The following is an 18,677-nucleotide window of genomic DNA, read 5'->3' on the forward strand; positions in this document are numbered from 1 at the left end:
CCTCTGGATACAGTTTTATTCCCAAGGCTGAAATATTACCATCACTTATTCTAATTTCCATTGTCTCTTAATTAATAACATTAAACCAATAAACCATTTTGACTTAATCTTTCCTTCCACATTGTAGTAAAATAATTCCAACTTGCTTTTTCTAGTAAATATGCCTTTACTTATTACAAAATCTATTCTGTAAAGATTTGAACAATTTAAATATTTTAAACATTTTAAATTAAGGCTTTTATTTAAATGAGATTTGATAATATATGTGTTAATGTATCACTTTGCTAGTATGTGCTACTAAGGCTTTAACCTGTAGTTGAATAAATGAAAATATTGTAGATATAAATCTTTTGAAAATCACAATTCATATAAAAGCTACACTATGACTTGTCTTTCTGGGAGATCATATGGTCATTTCTTTCACTGATGTTTTCTATCTTAGAAATCAGTTAACTACAGCCATAAAAGTTGAGCAAAACAAACAAAGATTATGGCAAGTGCCACAAAGACTATTAATTTATAAACAGTAGAAGCTTTTGTAACACACCTTTACTTGAGAAGGTAACTTATTTACACAAAGGAATAGATGTAACTTATAGGTCAGAAGGGTCCAGGTAAAAAAGGCATATAGCACTCAACATGATTCAACTCTCCACACTGAAATCATGCAAATGTGAGTCCTAAGTTCCCACTTATAAGCACACTTTCTGTTGGCTCCTCAAAAGAGATAAAGTTACAGTGACAAACAGGAAAAAGACAGTATTCATGGCAAATGGCGTTTCAGTGCTCCTGGAATTCTAATGAAAGGGCATTTGGGTGAAATCTGAAATGCCATGAAATTTTTCTTAATGTATGAAGGCTAAACAAGACATATTCTCAGGTAGCTTCTACAGGTTTTCACTTGGGTGAAGAACTGAATGTGCAGTGAGGATGTGAATCCAAAAAATTGAGTAGGTGAGGAGATGTGAAACTTTGTTGTGTGCTCTTACACAGGACTCTGTGGTTCCTACAACAACAAAGCAGAGGATGATTTCATGTCAAGTCAGAATATATTGGAGAAGACATCTCAGGCATTTGCTAACTCTTGGGAAATGATGTCCTGTCCTAAAGGAAACCCCTCTTCATGTATTAGTATAGAAAAAGGTAATATTAATTGACTATCAAATCTGTAATTACATATTTGTTGCTAGGAATTATGTACTTATGTATGTATATATGTAATAATATGATAATCCTGGTTTAAGCTAGTTTTTGTTGTACTGTCTGAATTTTGGAGGACACAGCAGAGAAGCAGTCTGGCTGGCTGATCTTATTCCTATAAAACAAATATTTCACTGGGAGTTCATCTTGGTTGTTTGGTTTTCTATATCTACTCTTTTCCTCCTTACACAATTTTCACCATCATTATAGAATAACAAGATTAGAAGAGATTTGGGGCACATTTAGTTCTTCAATTATTCCCTCCTTTAACTTAGTTATAAAAATGGTCATTGGTTGAAATAGCAAGACTTGCCCAAACTGGTGAAGCCACTTGATGAAAGAGCTATAGCTAGGTCCAGGTGTCCTAACCACTGCTGTCCAAGCCCCAATACAGAAATTAATTAAACTTTACACTGGTATGATTCAGCTTACATTTATGCTTACCAAAAGGCTTTTAAAATATTACTGCAATTTATTTCTACCAAAACTCATGAACAGTATAGGCGGGACTATTACCCCCACTAATGTAGATAATGATAATGGAGCACAGAGAGGGTTAATAAAGATCCTTAGTGAGTAAGGATGACAGATCAGAAATCCAAGTATTTTAAATCCAAGTCATGCTTTGGTTGCTCCCCTGGTATTGCTGATACTAACAAATGTTTTATTTTGTGTTGCTTCTTTCATTAAAAAAAGAGTGCAATGGAAGCTAAGTTAAAATATATTATATTGACATGTTAATTAGTTGTTTCTAAATTAATAAATATTAGAAATAGTCTTATCAGATTATAATAATATTTTAACATTACTAAGGCAATTCCTTTTGAAAGCATAGTTTACTAATTTTGATTTAAGAGAGTTGTTAGAAGCATTAATGTAAACATCGTAATATATATTTCAGGGTTTTGATTATCATATTATTTTGGTTTTGGTGTGTTGCAGTGAAAACAATTATAATGAGAATGTATATCTCATAAGAAAGCAAGTCAATTTATGTTAAGCAGACTATATGCCACCACTTTGGAGAGATATATAAATTAATTAAATTTAATTTTCAGTGCTTTACATTTAACTTAACATAAAATACAGAAAATTAAACTGTATTTTACTAATCTGCTAGTAATATTTAGATAAAAAGTGGTGATACTGGGTTGCAAATTTGTTAAAAATTTTGAAATAATTGGCCTCAGTTTGTTTTTAATAGAGACAGCTTCCTTTATTACCAAAAATCATTAAGCCAAGCACTTGTTACTCAGATGCTATTGTTATGATTTTTTTTGTTAATTTAATACTATGCTAGTTATTTATAAGCCAACGAAATACCAATTAAAAAACAAAACAAACTTAGTGTATTGGAATTATTGATACTGGTTGTGCTAATATATGACCTTCAGGAAAACTGATATAATCTTCTGAGGTGACAGGGATCGTGTAGTGGGGGTGGAGGGGGGGCTGTTGTTGTTGATTTATTTGCCAACTCATCAGAATTTAGCTATAAGTATATATTTTAAAGTTAAAAGACATCTAAAGATATAATATAGTCCCCTAATTCCATTTTTATATAGAAACTGCATTTCAGAGAAAGGTAAATTGATTTAATCCAAAAATCCAAAGCTAACAAAGACTTTGCCTCTTAGTGTAAGATTTTTTTTAAATTACAGCATGCCATTTTTGCACATAGTGACAAGTTAGATGTATTACAGCAAAACACTTTAAAAATTGTTTTAATAGTGAGAATTATTAAAATTTTACATCTTTTCTTTCAATTAAAGAATTATGGCCGAGTGCGGTGGCTCATGCCTGTCATCCCAGCACTTTGGGAGGCCAAGGTGGGCGAATCACAAGGTCAGGAGATCGAGACCTTCGTGGTTAACATGGTGAAACTCCATCTCTACTAAAAATACAAAAAATTAGCTGGGCGTAGTGGCACGCACCTGTAATCCCAGCTACTCAGGAGACTGAGGCAGGAGAATCGCTTGAACCCAGTAGGCAGAGGTCGCAGTGAGCCGAGATGCCATTGCACCCCAGCCTGGGTGAGTGAGACTCCATCTCAAAAAAAAAAAAAAAGAAAGTATAGTATTATATCATTACTGAAACTAATTTTGAGTGCACTGATTTTCTTCCAGAAAAATTTGCTGAAAGGCACTGTGGAATTCTTCTTGATTCAAGTGGGCCTTTGGCTTCCTGCCACCCAATTGTGAACCCTAAACCCTATCATGAGGTATGTGAGGCTCTAACATTAACACCTCTTGTTGAGAAATACTTTGCTGATATTGACAAAAGCATGTAGATATTAAATATTTTCAAATAACAACCATTGTCAGTAGATTAAAGTATATCCTTAGATATGCATTAGATTCTATTAATTTATTCTTGTGTTAGATATACCAACTTCAAAAGTGGTTCTGGAAAATAACCCCAAATAAGAAAAGTCTTGAATAAGTTTCTCTTTCTGCCTTTTCTAAATGTTTTGACAAGCAGGCTAGTAATTCATTTACTATTTTGAATATTTAAAAATGTTTTTGAAAGTTTCAAAGAAACTTTTTTGGGGTAGAAGAGTGGTTAGGAACTAAATTATTATACTCAGTTTACCTGTTCTTCTGAGTAACTTCATAATGCAATATAAATTTGTTTCTTATTTTCAAGGAATGCAAAAAATATACTTGCACTTGTGAAAACAGTCAGGACTGCCTATGTACAATTTTAGGCAACTATGTGAAAGCGTGTGCTGAGAAGGAAACATACATAGTGGGATGGAGAACTGGCCTATGTGGTAAGCAGCAGAGAAGATTTCAATAACTACTTCCTTCTCAGTTTCGCTATAGTCGTGTGTGTGTGTGTGTGTGTGTGTTGTGTGTGTGTGTGGTTTAGGCACATGTGTTTACAAATTTTTACCTGGTTCTTTCAAAGATGATTTTTTCTGTTTTATTTTTAATATCCTTGTGCAATCCTTATATATTTTACTTCTTGATTTATTGATCTTGATTTAATATATTCACATATAAAGAAAAAGCAGAATATATGTGTATTTATATATAAATATATGTTTCTGTTCAATTATCGTGTGCTGAAATTTAAATAATGTTGTGACCGCTAATGCATTTGTAAATGACATTTTAATATGAATAATTTATGTTGAGAAAAAAACAAAATGAACCAATAAATTAGGGGCTCAACTATCATATTTTTAAAACCGTGCTTTGTTTTAAAATATTTATTGCACTGTTTGAATGTGACTTCACAAAAACACTTGATTCACCAAGAGAAAAACAAAAACAAACAACAAACTTTGTAGAAACACACCTCCTGTAGATCATATTTAACACCTCATTGCTTGTATCCAGTTAATCAGTAAAGTCTGTCCATTTCACCTGCAAAATCTCTCTTAAATTTATTCACATCTCTCCATCTATATTGCCACCAACCAGGTTCAAGAAACCACCATTGTTTTTCTCCTGGGTGATTTCAGTAGCCTCTTTCAATATTCACTCTTGGCTTCCTCTAATCCATTTTCTACAGAGAAACCAGGGTAATCTTTAAAACCAAGCCAAATCGAACTAAGCTCACTATGTGACACTCCAGTCTAAAACAAGTTAATGGTGTCTCATTGCTCTAAGGCTAAATACCAAACTCCTTAAGGGGGCCCTGTAAATTTTAACCACTGATTCATTCTATCTCTGGCCATATAGCTTCTATTCTTCTATGTACTCTTTAAAAGACTCATTCTCCCTCCGACTTAGGCTATTCTCCAGACAGAATCACCTCTCCCTAGACTGTCTTATTGCTCTTCATCTAACCCACCCTCTTCAGTAAGTGTAGATCCTCATCTGTACATACTTAGTGCTTCCCCTCTTGTTTCTTCATAGCATGTACCACGACTGTCCTTCCACCAGGAATTTAAGCCATGTGAAAGCAATGTATTGCCTCTCCTGTTTATGGGCTTAATCCCCAGCAAAGTGTTTAAACATATAATAGGAATTCAGTATTGACTGAGAATAAAAAATAATTTAAAAAACTCAATGAACAAGGACTTAAAAAATTCATAATCTCTATTATGAAAACTCATGATAATATCTATAAACATCAAGCTGAAGTAAAATTGTTTGTTTCCCTGGATATGTACATATTCTTTCTTTCTTTTGTCTCTGTACCAACAGAACATTCTTGCCCAAGTGGCCTAGTGTTCAAGTACAATGTAAAAGCCTGTAATAGTTCTTGCCGATCCTTGTCAGAAAGAGATAGGAGCTGTGATGTAGAAGATGTTCCAGTTGATGGATGCACCTGCCCTGATGCAATGTACCAGAATAATGAAGGAAACTGTGTACTGAAATCTCAGTGTGACTGTTACATAAACGACGAGGTCATGCAACCAGGCAAACTCATCCATATTGATGACAATAAATGGTATGGAAATTATACGTATACTTGCTATGACACTGAAATCAAGAGACTGCGTTCTTTTCAGATAAATGATCTTTCGTCAGTATGAAGTCTTTTTAGACCTACCATACTTATGATTCTTATTTATTAACAAAAATCTATTTTATTCTGGAAGGCTCATTGCATCCTAATGGATATAGATGACTTATCCCACTCTGGTTTTGTTTTAACACCAGTAGAAAAATATTCTGGTAGCTTCTATATACCAGATGTGAAATGATTTCATATTCAGAAGATGCTCTCTAGCTGTCTCTCAGTAGTCATCATTCAACAAACACTCATTAAGTGTCTGCAGTGTGCCAGGCCTTGTGCTGAGTGCTGGAGTTGCAAAGCTGAACGAACATTGTCCTGGACTCCGAGCAAGCAGGGCACAAACCACTAGAAGGAGGTTTATATACTAGAACATGGTAGCAGAAGGGGCCAGGCACTACCTGAGGAGATTAAGGAAAACTTCTCAGAGAAGACAGGCATATGAATTGTGCTAGGGAATGGATCTTTTTCCAGACAAAATTGAAATGTAGAGGATGACTTCCTGTAGAGTAAAGAGAATGCACAGATGTAGGAAATGTTTGAAAAAATTTTACACATGCGGGTTGTTTTGTATAGGATTGGGCTAGAAACATTGACAGTGGTCAGATCATAACCAAGAATTTGGACTTAGTTTCTGAAGAATTTAAGAATTTTGACTATTTTGTAATGGCTGAGGAGGCTATGATTTCTACAGTTTGGAGCAAATTCATTTTTTTCTTTTTTTTATTTTTATTTTTTTTGAGATGGGGTCTCACTTCAATTGCCCAGGCTGGAGTTCAGTGGCACAGTTTTGGCTCACTGCAGCTCCAACCTCCCTGGGCTCAAGTGATTCTCCCACCGCAGCCTCCTGAGTAGCTGGGACTACAGGTGCATGCCACCATGCCCAGCTAATATTTTGTATTTTTAGTAGATACGGTATTTCACCATGTTGCCCAGGCTGGTCTTGAACTCCTGGACTTAAGCAATCCACCTGCCTTGGCTTCCCAAAGTGCTGAGATTACAGGCATGAGCCACTGTGCTCAGCCTGGAGCAAAGTAATTTAAGCATGTTTCTAATTCCATAGAGAGGTGTAGGAATTCTTGCCAAAATGAAGTAGCCACTCAAAAATATTTTGAATATGCTTCCTTTCTTTTCTTTGGTTTCATGAGGCTATCATTAACAGTAAGTAATTTTTCTTGGTCATTCAAAAGGAAAGCCTAGGTAACCCCTTTATATCAAAGCCCATGAGCCTTTTGCTGGGGTTTGATAATGATAATTTCTTTTTCTCTGTAGTTTTTGGGGAATCAATAGATTAACTTTTTAATGGTGCTTAATAAAGAATTACACTATTTTATCTGTATTGGATATTAGCAAATATGCAGTCTGCTCTTTTTTTCATGGGAATCAATAAATTAACTTTTCAATGAATCAGGCTAGGACCTCCAAATTACAGTTCCCTTCACCACTACCCTATTTGAGACTCTCCTCAGCTGGCACCACTGTGATAGCTAACTTGGTTGCTCATTATTGCTTTGTCTCTCTGTCTCATGTTTCCTGCAATGCTGCAAGAATGTGTAGCCTAAAACCACATGCATACCTATGTAACAAACCTGCACGTTCTGCACAAGTATCCCAGAACTTAAAGTATAATAATAATAATAATAATAATAATAATAATAATAATAATAATAAAGAATATGTAGCCTAAAGCACTATTCTGATAGGGCCACCTCCCTGCTCAGAAACTTTAGTGACTGACAGTTACCTGGAGAACAAATACAAATTTGCAAGTCATTTAAGGCCATCTAAAGTCTGGCCCCAACCTACATATACCACTTCCGCCCATTTTGCATCCTGCCTTCCATCCAAACATGACTCATTTGAGTCACTGGAACATATCTTATTCTCTCCTACACCACAGTTTGGCATCTTATCAGAAGTATTAAATTTCACTTATCATCAAGATCCAGCCATCCTTTCCACAAGGTTTTCTCTGATGTCCATAAAACCCTGTTTGTATATTCCTGTAATATTTACAAGGTGATATCTTATCCTTTGGTACATTTTATGCATCTTCTGGGGATGGTGTCTCACTCATTTAACTAATTGTCCTTGAAACTTATGTCTAAATTTATAAAATTGTTTTATTTCCAGCGTCTGTCGGGATGGAATTCTTCTTTGCCAGATTCCCATTGATTTAACCCTACGTAAGTGTTAAAATCACAGTGCAAGTTTAAAATATCCACTTTGGCTAAAGAAAACAGATCAATAGGCTCTTGATTAATGACAATTCTTATTCTGCAGAAAATTGTTCTGGAGGGGCTGAGTATGTAGACTGCAGTGATCCCAAGGCACAGAGAAGAACCAACAGAACATGCAGTACTCGGAACATACCTGTTTTTGATGTAAGTAACATAGTATTAGAGTTTAGCCATTGAAAAGTTTTGTTTCGAGTCCTAGGAAAGCTACAATTTTAATGAAAAATAATTAGAAGGTCATGCTCTTTTTGTGTGTTATTTTCAGTTGTCAAAGATTGACTCCAAATACATACTTGGCATATTTAAGCATTTAAATTAATGCTGATAATATGACATGATTAGAATGGTGCCTCATGGTGTATATTTTATATTTATTCTTGTAGGAGAACTTGCCTTGCAAACGTGGGTGCTTTTGTCCAGAAGGAATGGTTCGAAATTCTAAAGGGATATGTGTCTTTCCTAATGACTGTCCATGCTCTTTTGGTGGACGAGAATATGATGAAGGAAGTGTCACTTCTGTTGGCTGCAATGAATGGTGCTTAATAACGGATTCTTATTTTATTTCTTCTGGATATTAGAAAATATGCAGTCTGTTCTTATTTTCATAGGAAAGAAGAAGTCACACTTTGGGATATTTGAAAAAAATGACCAAATATAGTTAGAAAAAATGCTAGTTTTATTATTTATTTATTTATTTATTTATTTATTTATTTATCTATTTATTTTGAGACGGAGTCTTGCACTGTCACCCAGGCAGGAGTGCAGTGGTGCCTTCTTGGCTCACTGCAAGCTATGCCTCCCGGGTTCATGCCATTCTCCTGCTTCAGCCTCCCCAGTAGCTGGGACTACAGGCACTCACCACCATGCCTGGCTAATTTTTTGTATTTTTGGTAGAGACAGGGTTTCACCGTGTTAGCTAGGATGGTCTCGATCTCCTGACCTTGTGATCCTCCTGCCTCGGCCTCCCAAAGTGCTGGGATTACAGGCATGAGCCACCGTGCCCGGCCAAAATGCTATGCTTAAAACAGAACTTTATGTAGCATTGTATATATTGAACATCCTACTTTATAATGAAGACAACTCCAAAATTTAAATCAATATGAAACATTATTTTGTTCTTCTTTACAAAAGCAATATTAGTATATGAATCCTGACATAATATAATCACTACACTCTCTCATTTTTTCCTTTTAGTACCTGCATTAAAGGGTCTTGGAGTTGTACCCAAAATGAATGTCAAACCATCTGCCACATCTATGGGGAAGGTCATGTTAGAACTTTTGATGGGAAGAGTTACAGTTTTGACGGTCTCTGCCAGTATTCATTTCTTGAGGTAATTATGAGTATGTCTTATTAAAATGTTTCTGTACTTCTTAATTATTCATTTGTAGATTAGTTCCAAATAATTTTATTTTCAAAATGGGAAATATTTTTAAAAGGTCCCTTGTATGTTTCCAGAAGGCAGTAAAATGTTATATTGTGTACTGCTGGCTCTGGAGGCTAGGACTAGATTTCGATACTGGCTCCATATTTTATCAGATGCATGTCTTTGGGGACATTCCTTAACCTCTCAGTGTCTCAGCTTCTGTATTTACAAAATGGGCATGAAAGTAGCCCCTACTTGAAACCACACGAGAGCACACACTGGAGGACATACTAGTGCTCAATAAATAAATGCTAGATATGATTGTTCTAACAACAGCACTGGCAGCAAAAATTATGACTACCATTTATGAGTGCTTCTTTGCCAAGCAAATTTATATATTTCATTGCATTTAATAATTATAATATGATGAGACTGATATTATTATTCCTATGATGCAGATGAAGAAATTGAAGTTTAGAGAGCTTAAGCAACTTAAGCTACCAAATAGAAAATGTCATAGTAAACCTAGACCTGTCTGATTACAGAGTTCATGCTTACATACATTCCAGAGTTCATCTTGTTAAGCTGTAAGCTTCCTAACTAACATTTAAGGGGTAAAATTTAGATTGTATTGTATTTATTCATTAGTTTTGTTTGAATATCAAGTTTCATAAAAGTCTTTGAGGAAATAAGGCCAAATTTATCTAGCTATTTATAGAGTCTAGAAATAAATCTGTGACTACAAACATATATACTTTAAAGACTTACATATTTATAGAATAATTCTGAACTTGTGCAGAAGTAATGGGAAAATAACTGAGTCAAAACAAGTTAGCTAGAGTGGACTTAGTCAAGGCTAACTATCTGTAAATGTGTTAAACTATTGTTTTTTTGGAAATTCCGTAACACAGCATATGGCGATTTATTGAGTTTGAGGAAAATATTTTCTCTAAGAATATTTGTCTGACACAAATACTGTAGTTGAGTTCGTGTCTCTAATATTCACAAACTATTATAATTTTTATTTTAAAGGATTATTGTGGTCATGAAAATGGCACATTTCGTATTTTAACGGAGAGTGTTCCATGCTGTGAAGATGGGCTAACGTGCTCAAGAAAAATTATAGTTGCTTTTCAGGTACAGTACTATTTTCTTTATTTTTTCCTCTCACATTGTGAGAAGCCAAATAAAACTGTTATTGTAAATCTGTCTGAATTTACAGGATCAGAATATTGTCTTGCAAGACGGTAAAGTAACAGCAGTCAAATCTACAGAAAGTAAGAAATGTGAACTCAATGCAAATGCATACTCCATACATACTGTTGGCCTGTACTTAATTCTGAAATTTCAAAATGGAATAATCGTGATTTGGGACAAAAATACAAGACTGTCTGTTATTCTGGATCCAAACTGGAATGTATGTATATCGCTAACAAGTGAATAATGGGGAAGCAAAATCATTTCTGTTACTAAAATTAAAGACGGGTATTCATAGACAGAGTGTAGGAGAATGGCAGGGTCTCTGTTAGAGTAACAAGCCCTCCACCTTTCTTCAACCTTATTGTGAGATATGAAATGTAATCAAAGATAATAAAATCTGGTTAAAAAGTAAATGCAATAACCTGAGGCATTGTAGCTTAACCGTATTTGGTTACTTGAGATTATCACATGATGTGATTTTCAGGTAGTTGATATATTTTGAATTAAATGTGTTCCTTGGAGTAAATATTTTAAGAAACCAAAGTAGTCTCATGTGTAATTTGAAACTAGCAGACATACCTGTTTTGGTTCTTTAGACATTTTTTCTGCATGATACTAGATGATTTTGTGACATGGGGTATCTTAAATGGGAGAATAATCTTATCCACAAATTCTGGAATCTTATCCATGGAAACTGGAATTTTATATAGATTCATGCTCCAATATACATAATCATGATATCTATCTGTTCATCTATCATCTATCTGTTTGTCTACCTATCTCAATGTCCCTAGTACAACTAATTTTTAAATTTCCCTTTCTGATCAATACAGGGCAAAGTGTGTGGTCTTTGTGGAAATAACAATGGTGATCTCAAGGATGATTTCACAACAAGATACTCTTCAGTAGCTTCTGGAGCACTGGAATTTGGGAATAGTTGGAAAACAAGCCAAGAATGTTCAGATACAGTGGCTCAGACTTTCCCATGTGATTCAAACCCATACTGTAAAGCCTGGGCTGTGCGGAAATGTGAGATCCTCAGAGACAGCACCTTCAGAGACTGCCACAACAAGGTAGCATTGTTCTGAAAGCAGTGACTTACACAGGGTTTCCTCCCAGAGACTCATGTGCTGTGCTCTGCCTAGGTTGACCCCAGTGCTTACCATGATGTGTGCATTGAAGAAGCCTGTGCATGTGACATGGAGGGGAAGTACCTGGGATTCTGCACTGCCGTGGCTATGTACGCAGAGGCGTGTAGTGCAGTTGGAGTCTGTGTCTCATGGAGAAAACCAAATCTGTGTCGTAAGTGAAGTCCATATGTTGTTGTTCTTTCAAAACGTAATTAGATAGAAGTGTTTCGTTAGACCCTCAGTCTTCCTCTCATATTTTCTATAAAACACATGTTTGTATACCTACAAACATGTTAATATTTTTGTTTATGATGTGCAAAAATACCTAACTTAAAAAATAAAGCACGTGGCCCAGAGCTTCAAGTTTAATTTTAGTTTAAAAATTTGTATTTTCACAGGGGGAATAATGAATACTGATGGAGAATATTTCTCATTCATACTTAGATGATGAACTGTTTACCTATCTTGGTATATTTACATCTCTTTCAATATTTACCGAATATATTACTTTTGCTTAAAGTGCTCACACATGTTTCCTTGAAAACTTTCATAGAGTCCTATAGAAGATGAACTGAAAATTGAGTATAGACTGAATCTCGATACATATAGAATGTAATAACTTTAATAGAAATGAGTCAGCTCTTTTCCTTCTAAGTATTATGAGAGAAAATATAAGAAGGTTAAAATAGAACCCTCATTTTATTCAGTTTTTTATGCACAGGATTAGATTATATTGACATCTTTAGTTACTTCATTTAGGAACTGTTATTTACATATTAAAGAGCTTAATTGTCTAGGATTTAGTTTTCCAATTTAAAGCTGAAATTGAAACCATGAATCTAGACTATGACCTAAAATATCTCCAAATGATAAAATTAATGTTTACTTTTTTAATCTCAAACTAACCTGACTGTGAGATGGCAAAACAAAGTGCTATTTTGAGTTTATATGCCTTCCCCTCTTGTGATCTATTTTGACTTATATGACAGTTTAGATAAAGCCAAAGGAACTTGATAAGACCTGATATACTTTAGATATGTTTATTATTAATATCATCCCAAATCCCTTGTTAAAATGCTTTGGAAAATGAAAGGTGAAAATTGTCATATAATGAATGAAAGTAATTTAATATAATTCAATTACAGCTGTCTACTGTGATTACTACAATGCGCCTGGGGAATGCAGATGGCATTATGAACCTTGTGGCACAGTGACTGCAAAAACATGCAAAGATCAGCTCGTTGGCCAGAAATTTTCTTCACTTTTAGAAGGTAAGACATACTTTAAGAATATGCATAAAGTAGTGCAAATGATATTCATCTTAACTGGAAAGGATTGTTTCTCCTAATTTCGTGTCTAACATTTCGTAATTTAATGAATAGTTATCTTTATTATGACATTAATGTTTCTACATTAGAAACATTTTCTCTAAACATAAGCTTAGTGGGGGATGGGAGACAGCACTCTGATCCTATTGTCACTCTTTATATCTTTGATTAGACAATGTTGTTTAGTGTGAATGCAGTTTCAGAATGCAACATATAGTACAGTCTTGCTTGAGTAGTATAATTACCGTAATAATTAACTGTATCTCACACTTAAGCAGCATTTTATTCTTAGCATTATATATTTTAGAGAGAAACAAAGAACGGGCAAGAAAACAGGATAACATGAAACTTTTCCAAAAGTCACATCTGTGTTAAATCCTTTGGCATACTTTTAGCCTATTTTGCTATGACTTCTGTATCTTTACCTACTGTTGCAAAGACAGATATTTGAAACTGGCATTCACATTTCAAGATGTGTATTTACCAGAGCCTGTTTTATGTCACAGCATCACACCCATTATGAAAGTAGCAAATCATTTAAAATTACTTTAAGAATCATTTTAGAAAAAAATAAATCAACCAAAATCTGTAAGTTCTTAGTTTGACATTTCACTGCAAGAAGATCTGAACCTTCTTTTATTTATATATTTTCATTATGAGTGTGATGTTGTTTTGCTATTATCTACTTCACTTCATGGCATCATTTAAGTAATTTTACAAATATATAATATACAGTATAATGTGTTTCAGTAGATAGAGATGAATTGTGGGTATTTTTACACACAGGTTGTTATGCTAAGTGCCCAGATAGTGCTCCTTACTTGGATGAGAACACCATGAAATGTGTCAGTTTATCTGAGTGCAGCTGTTTCTATAATGATGTCATACCAGCAGGGGGAGTGATTGAAGATAATTGTGGAAGAACATGGTATATTCTCTACTAACTTTTCAATGAGCAATTTTGACTTTTGCCTTTTCATTTAGGAGAAAAACCAAATATATGTATGAATATATTATGTTAATAATATATATGTTATGTATACATGTATATATCTATAATTTTTGATCCTGCCATTTCTAAATGAGAAGGCCAGCTTTAGCTTCACTTTATATCAGTTATGTGAGTTATTTTTATTTTCAGACAATTCACATGTCAACAAATGGTTTGTGTAATCTTATACTTAATAATGCAGAACACAGGACGGAAAATGTCATTGTGTAGTTTTAGGGGAAAAGAGTTTTAATTCTATAAATGTAAGATTATGTTCACAGGCTTTCAAACAGTTACATGGAAGCAAATTGACAGGGTCATAGTAGGTCACCACGGCCATCAAATAACATCGTGTTTGAAATTGACTATGTAAGAACTACCTTTAAGGGTCACCTGCACACCATTTCTTCAGGTGCCCAGAGCTCCTCAGTGAAACGATTGGGTATAGCAGCACATGGAAAAACAAGCAATTTGAATCAATAGTATTCTTTTGGGGAAACAAATATTTACTTCTATTTGGTTTTGTTTGTTTTCAATCAGACAAGTCATTGTTTTAAATTTGTGAGCTGTATGCAAATAAGAGTCAAATTTTCCAATTCTTTCTTTTTTTCTTTTTTAAATTTAACTTTCAGCTACTGCATTGCAGGGCAGTTGGAGTGCAGTGGTAAGTCATTAAATTTTACACTAATTGATTTATGACAAATCAGAGGAGGGGCTGGGAATCTTTTTTAGACCAATCACCAGAAGGGCAGGGACTTAATGCATTAAGCTGTCCCTCCGAAGACTGGTACAATTCCATCCCAGAGCGATTATCCATGGTGAGTCGCTGTTGGAAACCAGTGCTGCCAAGATATGCTGAACAACTGTCAGATGGGGCCATGGCTGATACTCAGGGGGTGCACCTACTGCATACATGCCCCTGCCTAACTGTAGGTTCTGGGAATTGAGGGAGTGAGGCATCAGTGAAAACAGTTTAATGAAGGGAAGGAATAGAAGATGAGAATCAATATAGAATGAATTAAATAACTGAAGGATTGTTCGTGAGCAACACATATCTCTCACTGCAACCTCCACCTCCCTGGTTCAAGTGATTCTTCTGCCTCAGCCTCCTGGGTAGCTGGGATTACAGGCACCTGCCACCACACCTGGCTAATTTTTATATTTTTAGTAGAAATGGGGTTTCACCCTGTTGGCCAGGCTGGTCTCGAACTCCTAACCTCGGGTGATCCACCTGCCTTGGCCTCCCAAAGTGTTGGGATTATGGATGGGCATGAGCCACTGCACCTAGCCACAACACACATCTTAATAATAAATCTCAAAAACCTTCAAAAGAATACGTGAGCTACTCCTTTTTATATTAGGAATTGCAAGAAGTAAAATAAAAAGAGACATGACTTATAGACAAATTGAGTTGTAGAATTTTTTCAAGATATAAAAATTCCTGTCAATAACAGTAATGTATGATTATTTCAGAAACTGCTCCTACCAATTCAACATTTGCAGGTAAAATCATCATTATATTTTAAATGTTGTATTTCTGATTTCTTTGTGTAGCTAATCCTTTATGATTTCACTTCAATCTATGCCAGTAAAAGGTATGATGGTAAATCTGCTGATATAAAAATTTTAAATTAAACTGAACAGTTACTAGAAATATGTCAGAATATCATTTCATTATATTCCTATTAAGTTAGGAATATGATTAAACATACAATAGGTATTATTAGTTAATATTTATGTTATTAATTCATTAATATTTTAAATGCATGTTAGTTAAATATCATCATCCAAAGCTTGATATTTTTAGATAATAATTGAATAAGTGGATGAAGTAGAAGTAAATGTTGCCTTCTGTGAAGTAAATATTTTAAAACCATCATCATGCTGGAGGATGATTTGAAAACAGAAATAAAAAATTATTTCCTTCCTTCCTTCCTTCCTTCCTTCCATCCTTCCTTCCTTCCTTCCTTCCTTCCTTCCTTCTTCTTTCCTTCCTTCCTCCTTCTTTCCTTCCTTCCTTCTTTCCTTCCTTCCTTCCTTCTTTCCTTCCTTCCTTCTTTCCTCCCTCCCTCCTTCCTTCCTTGCCTGCTTTCTTGCTTCCTGTCTTGCTTTCTTTCTTGTTTTGAGGCAAGGTCTCACTTTGTTGCCCAGGCTGGAGTGCAATGGTGCGATCACAGTGCACTGCAGCCTCTATTGCCTAGGCTCATGTGCTCCTCCCATCTCAACCTACCGAGTAGCTTGAACCATAGGCATGTGCTGCCATACCTGGCTAATTTTTTATTTTTGTAGAGACATGGTCTTGTTCTGCTGCCCAGGCTAGAGTGCAGTGGCATGATCATAGCTCACTGCTTCCAAAGCATTGGAATTATAGGCTTGAACCATCACCCACCCAGAGCATTACAATTATGTTTACTCAGGAGGATGCTGGATGTTAGTTTTGGGACATTTAACTTCTTGGCAATATAAGTACACTTTGAGTTGCTGTAGTACACTTACATATTCCTGCCTTGTGTGTTATAAATTGGGATTTTATTTCCTGTTGATTGATACTTGGAGGTGGGTAGTATAAATTAAGAGATAGTACAGAAAATAGGAGACCTTAGGCTTTGACAATTTCTTTAAAATTATGCAGCCTGCTGTAAAATGCTAGTTAAATTTTAGTTATTTTTGGTCACTTATCTGAAGCGAAGTTATCACATGTCAGGGTTCTGAACCACATTCCTTTAAGTTATTATTGGCCCATAAAGAGACCTTATAAAGTTCCTATGGGATTTTGGTTAAGTGATAATAACAGGAAATAGTTATTTTTGGTGGACGTACATAAATATATGGTGTTATTTGTATTGATATAAATAAAAAATTATTTTGTCACTTAACATCTGTACACGTTTCAGAAATTTTAATTTTAGTTTACGACAACTGGTTTCTTGAACTATATTTCCAAGCAAAAATTATTCAATTAATTTATTTTCATAAATATTGTGTTTCCTAAACAGTTTCCACTACAACAGCTACCACCATATTAAGCACCGGAGCAGGTAAATAAGTTAAAAATTGCTAATTATTTTTATAGCTCCTAAGTGAGCAGCAAAGATAATTTATAGTTCAGGAATCATGGCTCTTTTTTCAAATTTTTCATTCTCCATTTATGTATTTGCTAAAGGCCCATGCCAAGTAGGAGGTCTGTATGTAATTGTAACATTAGTAAAGAACATCTTCCCTTTTCAAAGGTTGTCTGTCCTAAGAACATTCTACATACTACTGATGTGGAGGAAGTGGCTATGTCAGAAAATTCTATGTTAAATTCCTTGAAAGTAATTTACAATTTCTTTTATTAACATTAAGAAAATTTTAACTTTAATTGGATGCTTTATCATTAAAACAGTAGCTAGTGGAGTACAAAAGTATATTGAATTGTGTAAACATCTGATAAGTGAACTTAACTTACATTTAATCATTTATTTGCATTCTGGAGATCTCAAAACATGTTTAAATAGATATGGTTAACCTCATCTTTCAATACCAGTTTAATGTTCATTTCCAAATATTTGTCTTCTTCTTTGCATAGCAATTACACTGGTTACCGGTGGCCCAAGCACAGGTAAGCTGTCACCTCTAAGCCACAACTTAATCAATGGGGGATTTTTAAAAACACCCAAACCTTCTTTTGCAGTATTATATCTTTGCAATGACATTTTTAGAAGAAATAGACAAAGTTTCTTTTTTAAAAAAGAATTTTTTAGAGAAAGCTTTTGGGGAAAAAAAGCATTATACCAAATGATAAGGTGTTTTGACCTTTTACTCAAGGCCTATAAATTTTAAAACTAATATTTGGGCTTCTATTCACCTATATGATGATTTTTTTGTCTGATACAGTCATTTCAAGTTGATCCATTTTACATATGACCATAGATGTTCTTGGAAGTATAATTTTCCCTGCATATAAAACTTAGTTTTTCCATTGTTTTCTCAAATTCAGCAGCATCCATTCCAGCGATTACAACATCAAGCAGTGAAACAACAGGTAGGTAAATCAGAAAATCCATAAGTGACAAATAAAGTTTTGAATAAAGGTTTGTATCTGAAACCTTGAACAACTTAAATATTGGAATCAACATCAGTTTGATTACACATTAAAAATATTTGGGTTTGAATTTTCCCTCGGACCATCCAAACAGTTTCCCTAGTTTAGTTTGCTATTTTATCTTTCCACCTAAATTTAAAAATTCATTGAGTATGTTTCAGTGTCTTTAATGAAAATGAAAATATGAGAAAAAAAGAATTTGAAAACAATGGCTAACAGACAATTTAGCACTGTGACTCTACACGTTATTGTTGTTTTTAATATATAATAGTCACCTTCTTTTCTTTAAACTAATTAATTGTACAATTAAAAAGATGTCAGTTTTGCTCAATTGAAGATTCACATGCGTAATGTATGTCATTTCTTTCTAGAGCCTATGTGTTTGAGAAAATCATCCATAGATTTCTCCCTTCCAACTCTGCGCTATTTTTCACATACTCACTTTTCTATACTTACGGTCTTTACCCCCAACTTAGCACTATTTCTCTTCTTTGTTATTTATTAATTTATCCAGTCTTAAATGAATACATTCCTTCAAGTCACAGACCATGCTTCGCCATCCTTGTATTCCCAATTGTACCTAATGGCAAGGTACAGAATAGTTCGCATTCAGTATTTACGGAGTGAATAAACAACTCTTCTTTTTCCCCGTGGAAAATTTAGAACTCAGG

The 18,677-nt window shown here is 34.5% G+C and overlaps 1 protein-coding gene and 1 long non-coding RNA gene across 6 annotated transcripts in view; one reads left to right on the top strand and one right to left on the bottom strand.

Moving 5' to 3' along the window:
• Positions 1-11,126, bottom strand: part of LOC105369736 (uncharacterized) — an 89,145-nt gene extending 78,019 nt beyond the window's left edge. For all 5 annotated transcript variants that reach the window (XR_944868.3, XR_944869.3, XR_007063562.1 and 2 more), the window contains exon 1: positions 11,053-11,126. This is a non-coding gene — a long non-coding RNA (uncharacterized LOC105369736). The remainder of the gene's footprint in view (positions 1-11,052) is intronic.
• Positions 1-18,677, top strand: part of MUC19 (mucin 19, oligomeric (gene/pseudogene)) — a gene marked incomplete in the record, with an annotated part of 177,364 nt that overhangs the window by 39,377 nt on the left and 119,310 nt on the right. Inside the window, 19 exon segments of the mRNA NM_173600.2 lie at positions 994-1,143; positions 3,327-3,421; positions 3,847-3,973; positions 5,358-5,604; positions 7,804-7,856; positions 7,954-8,054; positions 8,291-8,442; positions 9,102-9,240; positions 10,306-10,410; positions 10,496-10,690; positions 11,307-11,546; positions 11,619-11,775; positions 12,749-12,874; positions 13,718-13,859; positions 14,555-14,586; positions 15,396-15,425; positions 16,919-16,960; positions 17,491-17,523; positions 17,902-17,946. Of these exon segments, the coding sequence (NP_775871.2) occupies positions 994-1,143; positions 3,327-3,421; positions 3,847-3,973; positions 5,358-5,604; positions 7,804-7,856; positions 7,954-8,054; positions 8,291-8,442; positions 9,102-9,240; positions 10,306-10,410; positions 10,496-10,690; positions 11,307-11,546; positions 11,619-11,775; positions 12,749-12,874; positions 13,718-13,859; positions 14,555-14,586; positions 15,396-15,425; positions 16,919-16,960; positions 17,491-17,523; positions 17,902-17,946 (2,211 nt within the window).

Source organism: Homo sapiens, chromosome 12, assembly GCF_000001405.40.
Source record: "Homo sapiens chromosome 12, GRCh38.p14 Primary Assembly".
In the NCBI taxonomy this organism is placed as follows: Eukaryota; Metazoa; Chordata; class Mammalia; order Primates; family Hominidae; genus Homo; species Homo sapiens.